Source organism: Homo sapiens, chromosome X (genome assembly GCF_000001405.40).
Source record: "Homo sapiens chromosome X, GRCh38.p14 Primary Assembly".
In the NCBI taxonomy this organism is placed as follows: Eukaryota; Metazoa; Chordata; class Mammalia; order Primates; family Hominidae; genus Homo; species Homo sapiens.
Genome location: NC_000023.11, coordinates 69,953,689 through 69,973,302, shown reverse-complemented (window position 1 = coordinate 69,973,302; position 19,614 = coordinate 69,953,689). Strand labels below are relative to the sequence as shown.

At 38.4% G+C, this 19,614-nt stretch overlaps 1 protein-coding gene across 6 annotated transcripts in view; it reads right to left on the bottom strand.

Annotated features, from left to right (window-relative positions):
* EDA (ectodysplasin A) overlaps positions 1 to 19,614 on the bottom strand; it is a 423,360-nt gene that overhangs the window by 66,170 nt on the left and 337,576 nt on the right. For all 6 annotated transcript variants that reach the window (NM_001399.5, NM_001005609.2, NM_001440762.1 and 3 more), the window contains exon 2: positions 16,171 to 16,276. In NM_001399.5, the coding sequence (NP_001390.1) occupies positions 16,171 to 16,276 (106 nt within the window). The remainder of the gene's footprint in view (positions 1 to 16,170; positions 16,277 to 19,614) is intronic.

Sequence of the window (19,614 nt, the reverse complement as noted above, 5' to 3'; positions counted from 1 at the left end):
TGGGTCCTGTCTTCCCACAAGATCCTTGTCTTGTTTTTGGTGGTCAGTCCCTTTCCTCTGCATTCCCTAAGCTGTCTTTCAGCACTGGGCTATGTGTGGGTATACACTGGAGGTATTGGGAAGGCAAGAGAAGAGCTTGACTTTTGGTGTATATAAAAACATTATCTGGGGGTGGAGGAAAAGATTGAAAACTCTAAAATAAGTAAGGAGTTTTCTGTTTTTCTGTCCCAGACTGCATGCAAGTTCATAATTAAGAACAACCTCTAGGAGTTAGGGCTTAGATTAGCTTAGATTAGCTTAGATTAGCTTAGTTAGTTATAGCTAATTCAAATGGAAAAGAAAATGAATCTGTGACTGTTAGTTGGATCAACTACAAGAGAATGATTTTGAAGGAAAAGGGGATGAGGAATTCATATAAGGTAAGGAAGGAGACAAAGCAATAGGTAGTTGGAAGGCCTAAACCAAGGGCATGGCAATGACAGAAAGGAGAATTACATGGGTGCATAAGGGGATACAGAACTCAGATTTGCCCAGGGCTTTACATTTTAAAAATTGGTTTTTCAAATAACATTGTATTTAATCCCCATATCATCCCAGTGATGTATTACTGTTATTGCCATTTTATAGGAACTGAGGCTGAGAGATCAAGAAGCATGTTCAAAGTTTCATAGAAAATAAGTGGCAGACTTACAACTTGAACCCAGGTCCTTAAATGTGAAACCAAAGTCCATTTTACTGCCCCAGTGACTGCAACTGTGGTATTGAAGTGTACTGCAAACATTTTGTTACTAACGAAGTCCTGAAGGTCATTAATAATTTACTTAAATAAAAACTGGAACAAATGTTATTTCTATGATAGTGTCACTCTTATTCACATTCTGATAGGCTTTCTTGAGCAAGAAGAAAAGGGGGCCTAGTTACAGCCATCGTGCTAGAAAAATCTACAGAACCCCAAGGGCTCCAGGGAGGGTGTTCTGCATGTGAATGTTATCTAAGCTCTGTATTATGCCAATAAATGGTGAAGAGTGCCACACTATACCTTAGCAATCAGAAAAATCATAAAATTTGGGAGAAGAAGGGGAGATAATAAATATGTGATGATAAATTACAATGTAATTTTGTTTCTTAACTTACATTTAAATGTGAAAATGGAACATTATGTATATTACACAGTATAGCCCTTTGAGGAAGCCATTTGTGCACAGTATCATTACTGTGGTACAGGGATAGAACTGGAAAGAGCCTGAAGGCTTCTCCCTCATGAACAAATATTTACAACAACTTCTTCCCTTGATCTCCCAATAAGTTACCAATTAGTTGCCATTTTATATATATAACTCACTGTGGCTTCATAGACAACTGCATTGTCTACTGACCATCTCTTAAGCTCTTTCAAATATAGTTTTCTTTTTTGAAAGAAGGGTATGCTTTAGCATTGGGCCTGCAGCATGTTTTCTTTCAATCTACAAATATTCATTAAGTACTTAACTGTTTGCATTATGCTAGTTGCCACACCGAGATAGAAGGAATCTCTAACCTCTTTTGGCTTGTTACATAGCTGTGAAGACGCGAGAAGCACATGAAAAAGGCCTAGAAATTATAAGTATCTTAAGCATGCACGTGGAAGAATGTAAACTAAGATGAGCTATCTGGATAGAGGTTTATCAAGGCCTCTTAAAGGCTATGAAGCCTACAGCTGGATCTTGGAAGGATGAATAAGGATCAAAAGTGAGGAGGTAAAAAGGCAGTCAAGGAGGGGGACTGGCTTGAGTCAAACAAGAGGCTGTAACCAGAAATGTCTGGTGGAAAAGATTACTTACTTTGTTGCTATGGTTGCCACCCCATGGCAATGTTGCATGATATACTAAACATAACCAGGACTTTGGTTTTCTCATAATCTCTTATTTCTTTGACATTCCCAAATTAATAAACTGTTTCAAACCATTTTTCTGTATTCAACTTTTATGATAAATAATACTTCACATTTGTACATCATTTTACAGTTTGCATAGCATTTGCACAGACATCAATTCATTTGACCTTCTACAGCAATCAGTGAAATGACATGGAGGCTGACTAGTTCCAAATTAGAGGACGAGTGAGTGAGGGAGCTCAGGACTTCAACCCAGATCAGGTTTGGTCCAGTCTTCAACATTTACTTGTACAGTTTTGATCAATAATTTATATTCATAAATAATATTGTTAAGGTCCTACAGATTCTGATATATATTTGGCATCAGGAATTATTAAACTGTGTCCTGAGTCATTTTTATGTTTAGCATATTTGATTGTTATTCAATTCTTTAGAAATCCATATGAAATATTTTAGAATACATTATATAATCTTTAAGACGGCATTTATAGAGTTGGCTTGAACACTATACCTCAGATTTCTTTCTAATTACAATGCTATATAGTCCTCACCTAATAAGAGTTATGCACAGTTTAACACCTTGCTTCCTTGGCTCCATATAAGGAGTTCCACAGAAATGAGTTTTCTGGGTAATTAAGGTCTACTTCGTTGACAGCAAACTTTGAAACCTGACAGAAATCTTTGTAAAGTGTTTTGAGACTTCCCTGTCTTATCACGCTAGATACAGCTGTCTATTGAGGACTAAGAATCACCATGAAGATCCCGTTCTGGACCATATAGTGAGATGTTCAGTATACAGGGAAGCTTGGTCCCAATGTTGAGCAGCACTTTATGTTTTTCTAGGTGTTTTAGCATTTATTATCCTTTTTGATCATCACAATCCTGTGAGATAAGCAGGATAACTTCTTTTCAACTACGAAATAGCTAAGAGATTAAGGTGCTTGAAAAAAAAAGCATTCTCATTCATTCGACTCATAACCTGAGAAATAAATTAGTACTATTCTCATTTTACAGTTGATACTAATAATTACCAATTATTGAGCACCTGTTATGTTGCCTGCAATGGTTTAGGCATTTTAATTTATCTCTAGTCCTTATAAAGTCTTATCAAAGGAAGTATCATTACTATCATTATATAATGAGAAAAGTTAGCTTGAGAGAGGTTACATGACTTGGCCAAGGCCACAAAGCTAAAAGTAGTAGAGCTAGGATTTGTGTGATTTTAAATCTTATGCTCTTTCCTTACTCCAAACTGTCTCAGAGAGAAACTAAGGGTCAGAAACTTGATATCAACTGAATTTTTTCTTTCTTTCTTTTTCTTTTTGAGACAGGTCATCACTTTGTTGCCCAAGTTCAAGTGCAGTGGTGCAGTCATAGCTCACTGCAGCCTCAAACTCCTGGGCTCAAGTGATCCTCCTGCCTCAACCTCTCAAGTAGCTGGGACTACACATGTGTACCACCCAGCTTGGCCAATTAAAAAAAATTTTTTTTGAGATGGGGGTCTTGCTATGTTCCCCGGCTGGTCTCAAGTTCCTGGCCTCAAGAGATCCTCCTGCCTTGGTCTCCCAAAGTACTGGGAATACAGGTGTGAGCCACCACACCTGGCCTTGTTCTTTTTTCTTTCTTATGTGTGTATTTCACCCATGTACTAGAAGCTTTACTACACTAAATTTGGGCCTTGCTTCTGATAGCTTCTGGATTTTGCATACTATGCTACAGGGTGGGAAGAATGAATTAGACTCAAAATGCTGAAATGACTCTGAGATAAAATATGTGTACCGCAAATATGCCTTTCTCCTTTAAATAGGTTACAATGTAAACTTATTTTTAAAGAGTTTTGGAGATGATGTATAAAAATAACATAGTATACAAACCAATAACTTTATGACTCATGAAAAAAGTTTTTTTGTGTAATCTGAAATATAAAATTCCACTTTTGGAAGTATACAATTCATACTTTATAATCTGATCATTTCAACACATTTATTTTTTAAAGAGATGAAATACATCTGAAATTCAAGGAGAGAATTAAATTGCTGTATTTACAATAACTGAACATCCTCTCAGGAGATACTGTGAAGCTATCATGAGAAACACATTCTTTTCCATTTCCTTTTAAAGAAATCATATTTCTAAACAGATTAGGATCGAAACATAGCAAATTACCAAGTCAATCTTCTTCCCACTCTTCTGGCACAATGTAAGATAATGAGTTGCTGAATTTCATCTACACAGATGACACTACTAACTTTCTGGCAGCAGGCCAGGCCCACGACTTGTTGTGCTATAGGGAGAATAGATCTGCACAAAGACCTCTTCTTTCCAGTATACCATGTGACAAAGAGCATAGGTTGATTAGACCTCTGGCTCGCAGTATATAGAATTCAGCGTGACTAGACCCTAAACAAGTGACTTAATGCACCAGAGTACTAGGTTCATTAAAGGAGCTACATGCTGGAAGCAGTGGTAAAATGCAGCCAAGATTCATAAGCTTACAGCAAAGCGTCCTTGGTACTTCACCATTTCAAAAACAGCTCTCTCTACATTTGTGAACATGTTAATTACATAGGACTTATGTTCTCTAAGTCAGCTAAGAGTCTTACACAAGGAAGGTAGGATCAATCATTGCTTCTAAATTACATCAAGGTACTAAATGTATTTTGCTGCCTTGCACCAGATATTGGTATAGTAGAAGATCAGAGAAATTAAAACTGCTACCAGTGTTAAGAACCATTATACATGGCTTACATTTTATATTTATTAGCAAGGAAGAATTGTGCTTGCCTTGCTAACATTTATTTCTGTGTATGGAGGCTAGCGGAGAGAAATAGTGAGGTAGGGAAGATGCTAAGATAATTTGGGATTGAAAGGCCACTTATTAAGTACCTGAATGGGCATTTGAAGGCCCCCTTAGGCTATTTTGGCCTCTTGTCACATTTTCTCTGCCCAACAGTTTTGGCTTTCTCTCAGCCCTTATTCTAAGCCTCATGCCGAGAGGAAAGCCAGCAAACCTAGGGGATTGGTTAGCTTTGTACTTGCTGTTCCCTTTGTTAGAAATGGGTTGTCTAGCTTTCTTCATCAAAGTCCCATTCACCTTCCAAAACATAATTGTCACCTAATTCGTCATATATGCATGCCTAGTATGTGCCAGCCATTATGCACTTCTCCTCAGAGATGTATTTAATGTATTTGGTTGACCATTCTGTGGTTCCCTCCTCTATGCTCCCATGACAGTCTTATCATACTTCTATGTAAGTACTTATCTATCACCTTTGTGAATTACTTATAAGATTTTCTCTTTTCTGAAGGCTGTGGGCTTCCAGAGCTTAAAAAAAACCCCATATTTTATGCATCTTTGTGTCCCCGGGTGTAATATAACACAGTGTCTTCCACATAATAGATGCTTAATGAATCTCTAGCTATTCCTCTCTTCTCCTCCTCTCTTTTGTTTATATTTGCTGTTTTCTAATTCCTCATCTGGTTTCATCATGAACCCTTCTGCCCCAACTACTGTACTAAAACTGCTCTCACCAGCGTTGCCAACATCTTTCTTACTGAATAAGGCATCCTCTTTCCACTGGGCTTGTTGAATTGGTAAGATGTAAGTCTAGAGCTTCTAGTAGCTATTTTTGTCACCTCATAGTGAGAACCTACATGAAGAATGAGGCCAATACAAAGGAAAGCAGAGCGGAGAAAGTCCTGATGATATCATTTAAGCCCTAAGGTTAAGCCATGTTTTAAGCCAGCTTCATGAAGGACTTTGCAGTTAAATGAGGCAATAAATCCTCCCCCTCCTTCTTTTCTAAAATCTTAAGCCAATTTAGGCCAGCTATCTGTCACTTGTAACTGAGAGAGTCCTAATGTAGCTAATTATCTCCATATCTATATTTTCAGACCAGCTATCTCTCTTGAGCTTCAGATGCATATCTTGGACTGCTTACAGGTTTCTCCTCCTTGAATTTCCCACTGGTACCTGAAACTCAACCTGTCCAAAACCACACATCTTCTTCCCCGATCATTATATCAGTGACTAGTATAGTACCTTGCCAGAAACCTGGGTGGCTTCCTTGACTCTTCTTTTTCTCCCTTCAATCAAATCACCAAGTCCTATTTTTTCTACCTAGGAACTCAAATCTATCTACTTCTGTCTTTATTGCTGTTACTTTAATTCAGCCACTGTCATTCCTTTTGTGTATCATTACAGCAATCTCCTCCCTTCTTTGTCTTCATTATGCCCTCTCACGTCCATTATTTTCTATCCACTTTAACCACTTTTTATATTCTTATAAATTACAGTTACACATGTTATTGTAACAAATCAAACATATAGAACTACATAAAGAACCATTTAATAGTTATTCCCTTCCCATCCAACCCTCTTCCACCCAAGGTAATCGATATTCACTGATGCTTCCCTTTCCCACATCTGTTCCTATGTTTATATATATATATATACACACACACACCTATAATATTTATAAAATATTTTATATATGTTTACATATAAAATAAAAAATATATGTTAAAATCTTTCTCTATGAAAATGGGATCATATTATACACATTACTCTAAAACTTGCATTTTTAAACCTAGCAATAGAACATGGCTACTTCAGACCATTACACAGAACTACATAGAACTCATTCCTTTTAATAGTAATAATATTACCATTATTATTACACTGAATAATAATATACATAATATTCAATAGTATGTCTATGTCGTAGTTTATTTTACCATTTTCTTATTCATAGATATTAGAGTTATCCCTCCTTTTGGCAACAAAACAGTGATATAATAAATATCCTTTTATGTATGACCTATATACTAGAATTCTCATTTTTTTTTTTTTTTTTGAGATGGAGTCTCACTCTTTCGCCCAGGCTGCAGTGGTGCGATCTTGGCTCACTGCAACCTCCACCTCCCGGGTACAAGCAATTCTCCTGCCTCAGCCTCCCTAGTAGCTGGGGTTACAGGCCATGCCACCACACCTGGCTAATTTTTGTATTTTTAGTAGAGACGGGGTTTCACCATGTTAGCCAGGCTGGTCTCGAACTCCTGACCTCAGGTGATCCACCTGCCTCGGCCTCCCAAAGTGTTGGGATTACAGGCGTGAGCCACTGCACCCGGCTGAATTCTTATTTTTGTAGGCTAGATTCCCAAGACAGTGAATGCTGGATCACAGGTATCCTAATGTTTAACTTTACCAGAGAGATTAAAATCCAAAATGGTTATAACAATTTACATTCTTTCCAGCAATATATGAGTTTTTCCACCCCTAATTATAATAGGATGTTAATGTATTATAAAATTGTTGCTAATGTATTTAGGTAATGAGTAGAAAATGGCATATCATGACCATTTTATTTATTTTTATTTTTTTGAGAAACGGTCTTGTACTGTCACCCAGGCTGGAGAGCAGAGGCTCAATCATAGCTCACTGCAGCCTTGAACTCCTAGGCTCAAGCAATCCTCCCACCTTAGCCTCCCATGCAGCTGGGACTACAGGTGCATGCCACCACAATTCGCTAATAAAAAAAATTTTTGTAGAGATGCAGTCTCACTATGTTGTCCAGACTGGTTTCAAACTCCTGGCCTCAAGCCATCTTCTCACCTTGGCCTCCCAAAGTGCTGGGATTACAGGCGTAAGCCACCGTGTCCAGACTATTTTTAAAATTAAATTTTATCTGTTTATTTTAAACTGGTAGAACATGCACATGTTCAACTAGTCAACTCCCTCCTCACCTCAGCCCCAAACACTCAGTTTTCTTCCTCAGAGCAACCATGATGACCAGTTACAGATTTATCATATTTAATGAGTTCCTAAATAATGGACATGTATTTCTAATTCTCTGCTATTATAAATAGTACAGCAAAGAATATCTTCATTGATAAATGATTTCCAGTATGTTAGTATATCTATAAATAGAAGTGGAATTGCTGGATTACAGTATGTGTGTTTAGCATTTGAAGATATTTGCCATATAATCTATTCTTGACATTGATCCTGTACTTCCCCATTGCCTTTAGGATAGTTTCTAAATTCCATAAAATGGATTCCAAAGCCCTGCGTGATTTGACCCCTCTTGGCCAGCTCATTTATGATCATTTTCACTTTAGATCTTTATCCTACACCCTTACAAACTTCTTTTAGTTCCTTAAATGAGCCATGCTCCCTCTTTACTCTAAGCCTTCCAACATGTATATTCTCTCTGCCTGGTGCACACTTCCCTCAAATCTTCATTTGGCTAACTATAGCATCCATCAGTTTGCAGCTCAGATGTTACACTTATTAGGAGACATTCCCTGTCCTCCCAAGTCTAGATCAGGTGCCAGTGTGTCCCATAGCACCCTGTGCTTACCCCATTATATGGTCACTACACTGTATTGAAATCATCCACAGTGAGTTTGATTAGGGTAGGGTCTTATCTTGTTCACTACTGTGCCCTTAGTGTCTGGAAGGGTGATCAATAAACATTGATTTAACAACTAGTTTGGTACTTAATAAACATTTACTGAATGAATGAGTTTTTTAAAAAAGGAAGCTGTAGTAGTTCCTTATCTTTGAGACTGAAGAGGCCCTACAGGTCAAGGAGTAGAATCTAGGGTAAGGCAGGGTTGTGTAAGTAATACACTACAGAGCCAACAGGTGCCTTCTGACCGCACATCTATATCTGCCTGTGATATTTTGAGGAGCCATACAGAAGTGAGCTAGCAGTTCACCACTCAGCCAACAGATTAACCTTCTTAGCCTTCACTTCATGAAACCATTTGCATGCACTTAATCCTTATTGAGCGTTCTCAGGGATGCTAATGAAAAGGCTCACTGACCATCCAAATTGAAACCCTTAGTATTTAATCATCTAGACATAGACATCATCTGATTGGCTAAAACTAGCCTAGCTATTATCATTATATTATAGAAGTCAGGAATAGTTAGTAACAAGTTATATCAGAGTTGGAAGGAAACAATTCAACCATCTATTCTAGTAGTTCAACATCTTTTCTTATCCTAATACATCTGAAGGATATGATATGCTCTCATCAGTAATAGTACCTTCCTCAGTATAGTTTTCTTAATGGGGTGTAGAGTGGTCAGAATTCCCAGGAGTATGCATGCTTCAAAAAAAAACTCCTTATATGCTTTTGGATCTCTTACAATCCAGTTGAGAATCACTGATTCTAGTTTAACCCTTTAGAAGAGACTAAGATCAGAGAAGTGAAGTAAGACTTTCCTAAGGTCATCCTGCTACTATAACTACTAATGGCAGAGCTGGAATTAGAATCTAGATCTCCTGGCTTAGAGTTCACCAATTTCCCTAATATTGAGAAAAAAATAACTAGAAGGAACTTTAGAGAGACTGAGTAGACAGGAAGGACCTTTAGAGAACATCAGGTCAGGTGGGCCTATGACTTCCTTTAGGCAAGTGAGATATTCCTCAAAGATGTCTTAACTTTATAAGCAGTATTGTAGCGGGGCAGTGGGTGGGGAGGGCATGTTCACATTATACCTTTCCTGATTCTGTATTGCTCATATTTGTTATAATATATGTATCATTTTTGTAATTTAAAAAATCCCATAAATATTTTAAGCATCTTAATCTTTAACCTCTATACCCAATTCAATTTAGGCCTTACATACTAAGTACAGGAGTTTGGTAGCTATACCAATTACAGAACCTGGTACAACGTCTTACAAGCAGTTGGTATTCTAAAAATGCTTGTTAACCAAGTGTTAGTGGTGATGGCCTGTTGAGATCATTTACTGCAGGGCTAGTTCCATCAATGAAAATACAGTTTTAAAGGATATTTTGGAGTATGAGCAAGCTAGATATTTTAGCTTACTTAATGTCTTATTTGATACAAAGCCACTCTCCAGAGTGTTCTGCTGTGGGCACTTAAGCTGTTGGCACCCACTACCAGCAGGCAACCTTGGGGATTCTACATGTGAAATCAACAATCCTCTTCGAGTCCACACACATGGTGAGCCTTCAAAAGCTTTACTTTTGTCTTGTGAACAAGCCCCTGAAACTCTATCGCTCTCAAAATGATTTTACTCTCTCATTTGATAATCCACAGTGATGGCTCACTGAAAGCAATAAATACAAGAGCAGTACTAAAATGAGGGCAATTCTTAATTCTAGCTAACATTTGTACGGGCAGAAAGTCTGTTTTCTTTGACATCATAGACTCTCATGTTCATCTGTATCAATTTAATAGTAGCTATGCCCCATTCCATTATTATTTTTAAAAATTGAAGTACAAAGGATATATTTCAATCTTGTTTTTCCCTCTACTCTTTTATAATAGTAGAAAAGAATACTAAGTTTTTTGATATGTCCAAAAGTAAACTACAAGGAAGAGAAATTTCTGAAATACTAACAAAAAGGGATACATATATACAGCCAGCCAGCCAGAGTGAGATAGTGCCACAGAGCAATGTGCAGATGTGATCATTTGCTGTGATGAGGTAGGCCATAGTGTGAGGCTTGGAGTCTTCTTCCTATGGGCTTGGATAGCATGAGTGAGAACAAAAATGGGCAATTTGGCTGATAGAGAGCATTTCTGAAGAAATTATAATTGTTGTCCATAAATTAGGGAATGTGAATGCCCCAAATGCCTGGCACACCATACTAGTGTGTTCATTTTCCAGAGAGAGCATAGTAATAGCACTTAATAATTTTTGAAGTATTTTTGTAGGCCAGGTGCAGTGGCTCGTGCCTGTGATCCCAGCACTTTGGGAGGCCGAGGCGTGAGGATCATTTGAGGTCAGGAGTTTGAGATCAGCCTGGCCAACAAGGTGAAACCCTGCCTCTACTAAAATATAAAAGTTAGCCAGGTGTGGTGGCGGGTGCCTGTAATCCCAGCTACTTGGGAGGCTGAGGCAGGAGAATTACTTGAACCCAGGAGGCGGAGATTGCAGTGAGCTGAGATTGCACCACTGCACTCCAGCCTGCGTGACAGAGCGAGATTCCCTCTCAAAAATAAAATAAAATAAAATGAGGTACTTTTGCAGACATTAACACTTTTGATAAACACAACAACTCTATGAGGTAAGCAGGGCTAATTATCCCTGTTTTAAGGACAAGAAAACTGAAGCTTAGAAGTACGTGACTTCTCCAAGTTCACATGGCTGGTAAGGTGGCAGTGACATCAAGATTGGAATCAAGAAATTGCAGCTCAGTCTAGTACCTCTTCTATTACACCATGCTGCAATTTTATTCTCTTACCAGGACGGAAACATGGAAGGCAGGCAGGTGTGGAGAGATATTAAGATTTTTATTAACTCCTGAAAATGCTCCTATCGGAAGAGAACAGATGTTTTTACAATAATATTTGTGAAATATGGAAACTACCTCCTTGGGAATTCTGGATTCATTTTACCTGATTCTAAGGCCTCATGACCTCCCAAATACATTCTACATTTCATTCTAACTAGAAAATAAAGTTCTGTGGATTTCTGGAGTGCTGTGCAAGAGATGACCAAACAAGCCACCTGGAGCTATTATTACTTCAGAAACACATCACAAAGATAAGACACAGCAAGAAATCCTGGCACAGATTTCTAGAACTGTTGTGACTCAACACCCACAGTGAAGGTATCATACTTTCTTTGAAGAAGAACAACAACCAAAGGCCTCACATAATTAGTACGAATAAACTTAAACGATCTGAAATACTTCTGGCCAACTCAAGTCAGTGAATTCAAGGAAGAAATGTAGTAAAGAAAACGAAATTCACTTCTTTTCTAAGAGTTGAAACTAACCATGTGTTTGAGACTCCTGCTTAGCTAGCCAATGCTTTCATTTATAAAGTAATTTGAATGGAGAAACTGAGATGAACCTAGTCATTCTTGAATGGTGAGTCAGAAAGATTGTATATACCCTGGATATTGCCACTGACTTTCTTTTTAAAAGGCAAGATAGACTATGTGTATGCTATGCCTCTAATCAACTAGTTTAATAGTCTGATGAAAACAGGAAAATAGGCTTCTGCAGCCTGATTTGTTCTTGGTGAACCTATGCAGCTCCTAAGGATCACTACATCCCTTCCGTTTCCAAGAGTTAATGAACTGTTTATAAAAATTTTTTTCTCTCACAGGGATTTGTGGAGATCATTAAGCTTAATATCTATAGTTCCTAGAAAGAAAGTCTAGGCTGGATGCAGTGGCTTACCCCTGTAATCCCAGCACTTTGGGAGGCTGAGGTGGGCGGATCACTCAACGTCAGCAGTTCGAGACCAGCCTGGCCAACATAGTGAAACCCAGTCTCTACTAAAAATACAAAAATTAGCTGGGTGTTGTGGCGGGCACCTGTAAAAAACATTTGTTAAATGATGAATGACCAAACAAATGAAGTAGGGTCTAGACTTTCTTTTTCTTTCTTTCTTTCTTTCTTTTTTTTTCTTTTTTTGGATGGAGTTTCACTCTGTTGCCTAGGCTGAAGTGCAGTGGCACGATCTTGGCTCACTGCAACCTCTGCCTCTTGGGCTCAAGCAATTCTCCTACCTCAGCCTCCTGAGTAGCTGGGACTACAGGTGTGTGCCACAGTGCCCCGCTATTTTTTTTTTTTTTGTATTTTTGGTAGAGACGGGGTTTCACCATGTTGCCCAGGCTGGTCACGAACTTCTGCCATGTTCTTAACTCTTCAAGGTAAATGACTTGTTCTTTGACACTTGTGAGGCAAACCTGAGCTTAGATAGTTAAATTTTTATTATAACATATCAAGTAATTTGTGAATTTATAATCAACACCTGATAAGATTTTTTTTTTGGCCATAACTCACCCCACTATGATTTACCTATCCCATCCTACCTCTTATTCTGTTCAGAGCAGTTTCCAGACTGACTCACTTCTTCAATGACAAGTCCTTTGTACAAAAGAGAGTCATCTTATTTTCATGATACACAGTGATGTTTAGTGTAGACTTATATATCCACTTGGCTGTTTAATAGCTACCTCAAATTTAACAAGCCTAACTAAACTCTTTCCCCATATTCCTCTACACTGCTTCTCTCCTTTGCTTCCTCATCTCAGAAATGGCAATTCTACCTGTTTAGTTCCTGAAGTCCAAAACCCTGGGGTCACTGATGCCTCTTCTCTGTCTGTCATATCCCTTATCTAATCAATCTGAAAAATCCTTCAGCCATTCCTTCAAAATCTCTCTAAAATCTGACCACTTCTCCCCACCCACACTGCTTCCATCCTGGTCTAAGCCACCATCATCTCTTGCCTGGATTATTGTAATACTCTCCTAAAGATTCTTCCTGCTTGTATCCTTTCTTCCTGCACCTATTTTCAATACAGCAGCCAGAGGAATGCTGTTAAAACATACATCAGATCCTGTCATTCCTCTGCTCAAAATCCTCCAGTGGTCCTCCATTTCATGCAGAATAAAAGCCAGAGTCCTTACCTTGGCCAACAAGGCTCTAGATTGGATTTTGCTTTCTTAACTCATCTCCTTCCCTCTTCCTCTTCTTACTCTGCTCCCAGCCACACTGATCTTTCTGGAACATACCAAACATTCTTCTGCTTCAGAGCCTTTGAATTTTCTGCTTCTTTTTTCCCCAGACATTTGCATAGCTCTTACTTCATTTCATTCAGGTCTCTTCCCAAATGTTCCCTTATCAGAGTACCTTCCTTGATCATCTTACAGCATACCCCATCACTCTCTCTCCCTGTTGCTCAGCTATATTTTTCTTCATACCACTTATCAAATTTAACCAACTTTATTTATTGTCTGCCTCTTTATGCTGGAAGTAAATCACTTTGAGGGCAACAGGACATATTTATTGAGGGTCTACTAGGTGCCAAGTCTGTTTCTAGGCAGTGGGAATATTAAAAAAAATCCTTATTGAATGTTTATTCAAGTACTATATAAACTGCTGTATTTACTTAGTAAATATTTGATGAGTGTATTGAATAAATATAGTATACGCTCATCAGAGTAACAAGAATGGTTCAAAGGAAAAGGAGATTTGGATTGACTTACCACTCTTTAACTCATTGGAGCATCTGCCACATCTAAAGAAATGGTTCTACAGACCACCAGGTGAAAAGTTGGAAATCTAATAAAATTCAAGGACCCCCAGGCATTCTATACTCCTAACTCTAAGGGACTCTTGGATTCCTCCAAGCTATACTGATTAAAGAAAAATGCCTGGACTGCATGAGAAACTTGGCATTGGCACCAAGAGACTAGAGTCTAGTGACTGACTAGAGTATCAGATCAGGAGGGAAGTATATAAGAAGTGCTAAAAATTAATGAGAGGCTTTGACCTTGACCAGAGAGAAAACTGTTTTGTATTAGGACAGAATAAACATTCTAAGGAAGATCGGTATCAGAGACGTTGGTAGCTGAATTTGGATAAAGTAGTTTTAGGGAAAGGAGGAAATTATTTTCTTTAAGAGAAAACTTCGGAGGTTAGATGAAGAGGTAAACCTTAGAAGCCATTAGACTTACCACTCAGAGAGGGAGGGAAGACCACGCCCACTATAGAAGGTGATATTGCTCTTACCACCTGTCTCCTCTCTTCCTTTGCAACCAGGGATTATGAAAAGTTTGATGGTTGTGGGAGTAGCCTCAGGGGAAAAGCTGAAGGTGGAGAGACTTACATGTATCAGAGGGTGAGATGATTAGGAGAGGAAAGGGTCCATGCTTCTTAGCTCCCTGCTTCCACATAGCCAGAAGACTTCTGGGAAACTGGCTACAAGTAGTAGGTGAATAATGGGTAACTTTTACTACATGGACTGCATTTCTTAGGCTTGAATTGGTCATCAATTGTATGCAAAATGACTTCTCTAGAGAATGGCCCCACTGGTCCAGTTCTCCATTCAAAGGCTCAATGCTGCTGCCACCTCCACTGACTAGAAAACCCTATCTTACTGCTCTGGCTCTTTTTTTTTTTTTTTTTGGTATTATTATGGGGTCCTTGTTCTGAGCTCTTTCTCAGATTTCAGCCAGTTATACTTCTTATTGCCCCTACTGACAAAGTCCTGGCTCCATCTCTTTAATAGCTTCCGCCCTCTAAAACTGCTTCCATCAGTGGCCCTTACTCACATCAACAAATGTCAGTTTAAAATTTTCATTTTCATCTGTATAAAGTCATATTGCTTTGTAACCCTCCAGACACATATTATTGGCAGATGTAGCCAGACACATGCTGTCTTTGAATCCAGATGCCTTTGCAGCAGCCCAGAGCTATGTATTCTACAAACCCCTGTGCCCAAAGGGGTAGCATTATGTCAATTGACAGAGTGATGCTGAAATATCAGAGCAATTCAAAGACCCTGCCCAGGAGCTAGCTCAACATTTTGTTATGCCCCACAGAATGCATTGCTAGTTAACTCAAAGCTATTACACCCAGAACAGGGATGGTTTCCATTGATACATCACTGCCTAGCTGAAGGGGCAGTCAACATCATCGACTTACATAACAATCACCAACAATGTTCCAGATAGTAGGCTAGATTCTAGGCTTATACAAAGAGAAATGAAATCTCTGCCCACAAGAAACTTATAAACTAGTTCTAGAAGGTCTAGTTCAGATTTGGGCATGGTAGTGGATACCAACATTGATAAAATTATCATTGGAATTAACACATCATGTAAGTGCTAGCAGGGTACAACACTGTCAATTCCAAGAATAGAACCAAATCCTCCTGTTGACCTTAATAGGTGTGGGACATCTCCGGGAGAGATGAGGCCCTTATAGAGGGTGATTTTGAGAGATACAAATGCTATCATGGCTCTCAGACATACTGAGAAAGGACTGAAGGTATCTGGAGTTGGAGGAGGGAGGATCCTTGTATAGTTAGTTCTATGTTAAAGGACTGATTGGTAGGTTAGGCTGCAGAAATAGTCTATGACCTTGGGTCTGTGGTGGACAGTATATAAGATGATGAAGCACACTTGAAAAGGTAGTGGTTTTTTTTTTTTGTTTTTTTTTTTTTGAGATGGAGTCTCGCACTGTCACCCAGGCTGGAGTGCAGTGGCACAGTCTCAGCTCACTGCAACCTCTACCTCCCAGTTTCAAGCGATTCTCCTGCCTTAGTCTCCCAAGCAGCTGGGACTAGGCCCGGCTAATTTTTTTTGTATTTTTAGTAGAGACAGGGTTTCACCATGTTGGCCAGGCTGGTTTTGAATTCCTCACCTCAAGTGATCTGCCCGCGTGGGCCTCCCAAAGTGCTAGGATTACAGGCGTGAGCCACCATGCCCTACCAAGAAGGTAGTTCTTAAAAGGATACTTTTACTAACAAATAATTCAGAAGTGATAAAGGATCAACTGAGTAGACTTACCATCTGCTCCTTCATTGCTTTTGCTTCTTTTATTGCGGCGAACACGCCTACTTTCTTCTTCAGAGTATGGCTTTTCATCAGGGAAGAAGAAATTCAATAGGGCCATCTGTAAAAATTACAAGTACATTAGTCAAAGGTTGACCCCACTCAGTCATAGCCAACATAAAAAACCAGCTTTCCATAGACAGTCTACCTGTACCTTAAGTTTGATGTGTCTAAAGCCTGAGCCCATCTTCCCCTCCACTGTACAAACCATTTTATTTTTGATACCATTATTATTCCAATCATGTAGGCATGACATTTTGGTTAATTTCTGAATCCCATTTCTTCCACCCTGAATATCTAATAAATAATCCATCAGGTCCCATTTCTTCATATATTTCTGGGATTCAGAGAGCCTAGCCACAAATTTCTAACTTCCCACACATACTGAGGATGCTCACTCAGAATTTGAGTTGAACAGAAAATTGAACAGAAAACCTTGAATTTGGCTGGGAGCAGTGGCTCACGCCTGTAATCCCAGCACTTTGGGAGGCCGAGGTGGGCGGATCACCTGAGGTCAGGAGTTCGAAACCAGCCTGACCAACATGGTGAAACCCCATCTCTACTAAAAATACAAAATTAGCCGGGTGTGGTGGTGGGGGGTGCCTATAATCCCAGCTACTGGGGAGGCTGAGGTAGGAGAATCGCCTGAACCTGGGAGGCAGAGGTTGCAGTGAGCTGAGGTCGCACCACTGCACTCCAGCCTGGGCAACAAGAGCAAAACTCTGTAAAAAAAAAAAAAAAAAAAGAAGAAAGAAAGAGAAAGAGAAAGAGAAAGAGAAAGAAAGAAAGAAAGAAAGAAAGAAAGAAAGAAAGAAAACCTTGAATTTGCTGCTCCCCATTGGACTTCATTATTACACATTCATGATTTTGCCACATTGCTATTTATGATGTAATTTTGGTTTGTTCCCAAAATGCTGTGCATCCAATACTGAGGTACTATTTGTCAATGCTCTTCTGGGAGTTAGTCATGACAAAGTACACAATTATTTTCTCCTCTTCTGAGATTCCTATAGCACTTGTGGTCTATAAGACTAATTTTGGTACCTGGTCCTCTACTGTCTTATAATGGTCTCTGATAATAATACAATATGTTTCATATGTGAATGGGTCTGGCTTCACTAATAATCATAGCTTAAATATATATTTGCTGAATTGAATCATAATCTTTTAGCATGAGTGCTTTACTGTGGTAAAACCATGTGCTTGAGGTAAACAGTAAACACGGTAGTAGGACTGAGTGATTCTAATGCCAACTCTGCCACTTACTAGCTGTATAACCTGGAACAAGTTACTTAAACTTTAGTTTCCTCATCAGTAAGTAGGGATAATAATAGTACTTTGCAGATAAAACAGTTGCAGAGTTAGAACAGTACTTAGCATGTAGCATGCACTTAATAAATGTTTGCTATTACTATTATTATTAAACTTAATCTTCAAAATAGAATGGTTAATTTGGGGCCTAAAATAGAACAAATGAATCTGCATTTTCATTCTATTATCAGTTCAAAAAATAAAAAATTCCAGAGTCCTCATGTCTGCTCCATCTCTGATTAAGTGGAAAAAAAATGGGTTGGACCCAAGAAAGCCCCAATATTCCACACAAATTTTCTTCAAAATTCTGTGATTTACCCAATATCCTTAAGGTGTAGGATTAGCATCTTGAAGGATACATGAATGTATTAAATATAAAATTAATAAATCAATGTGTAGGTAATTTCCATCTTGTCAACAGGACTGCATTTCAAAATAAACTGCCATTTTTGTCAAAAATGGTTGAATATCAATCAACAATTTCACATGGTTCAACTGAGTAGTATTTTTGAGTCACTTGATTGGAATGTAAAAATGCATTTTCTCATACAATCAACATAATAAAGTTTGGCTAGTTCTCCTGATAAGCCCACAGAAAGTTACTTAACTCACAATATAAATAAGCTAAGTACTAATAATAGTATAAAACTAAACTGCTGTTTACAATAAAATCTCAATCATTTGCAACTCTACAAGTCATCCTGGATAGAAGAGTTTTCTTGATAACTTTGAGTGCTGAAACTTACTTCAGCTATGCAGCCATTAAAAAAGAACGAGATCATGTCCTTTGCAGTGACATAGATGGAGCTGGAGGCCATTATCCTTAGCAAACTAATGCAGGAACAGAAAACCAAATATGGTATGTTTTCACTTGTAAGTGGGAGCTAAATGATGGGAACACATGGACACATGGTGGGGACAACACACACTGGAGCCTATTGGAGGGTGGAAGGTGGGAGGATGGAGAGGATCAGGAAAAATAACAAATGGATACTAGGCTTAATACCTGGGTGATGAAATAATTTGTATAACAAACGCCCAGGATACACAGTTATGTATGTAACAAACTTGTACATTCTGCACATGTACCTGTGAACTTAAAAACTAAAAAAACCCCGTAATAGCAATATTTACTTCAGTGTTTATGAATATTAAAGTATATGATAGGGCCTAGTATAATGCAATAAAAAAGAAATTAGTTTATAATATGTGATTTAATTCAGGGCTTACTGAATATGTGGAGGACTATTTGCCTGTACATTAAATGACCTCAGTCCACTATGGGTTTGAGGGTTTTTTAATTATTACAATTACATTATAGAGCAATACATGCTTTGATGGAGAGGAGCTTCAAGTTCTCTGGGAGCAAGAGGGGAAGCATCTAACACAACCTGAAAGTGAACAAGTCGTCTTGGAGGAGGTGTGCTACTTCTGTGAGTCCTAAAGGATGTCAATGATTTAGTGATAAATGGAAAATGGAAAAGGAATTCCAGGAAAAAGGAGTGCTGTGCTTAAAGGTTCAGAGGAAAAAGAAAGAATAACAACTTTTGGAACTATAAGTAGCTTAGAATAAGTGGTAGGAGGTGAGAGGGAATGGTGAGAAATAAGCCAAGGAGTATTAAGTAAGAGCCAGATCATGTTGAGGAATTTAGACTTAGATCCTGCAGCAGGGGGATCTTCTGAAGGATTTTTTCCCTTTTGAAATTTTTGTACTTTATAAAAATTTGATATATAATTTAGATGCAATAAAATGCACAAATTTTAAGCATACGGGTTGAAGAGATTTGATAAATATACACGCTTTTGTAACTACCACCAAACTCAAGACAAATCAAGATTTCCATCACCCCCTAAAATTTTCTCTTGTGCCCTTCAGTCATTCTCCAGTACCCCTGACCCTGAGACAACTACTGTTCTGATTTCTATCACAATAGCTAATTTTTCCTGTTCTAGATTACAATCATCCATTACAATTTTTCATATGTATGAATGAATATGAATTTTCACTCAACATACTGTCAGTGAGATTCATTCATGTTGTTGCATGTATCACTAGTTCATTCCTTTTTAGTGCTGAGTAGCAGTATT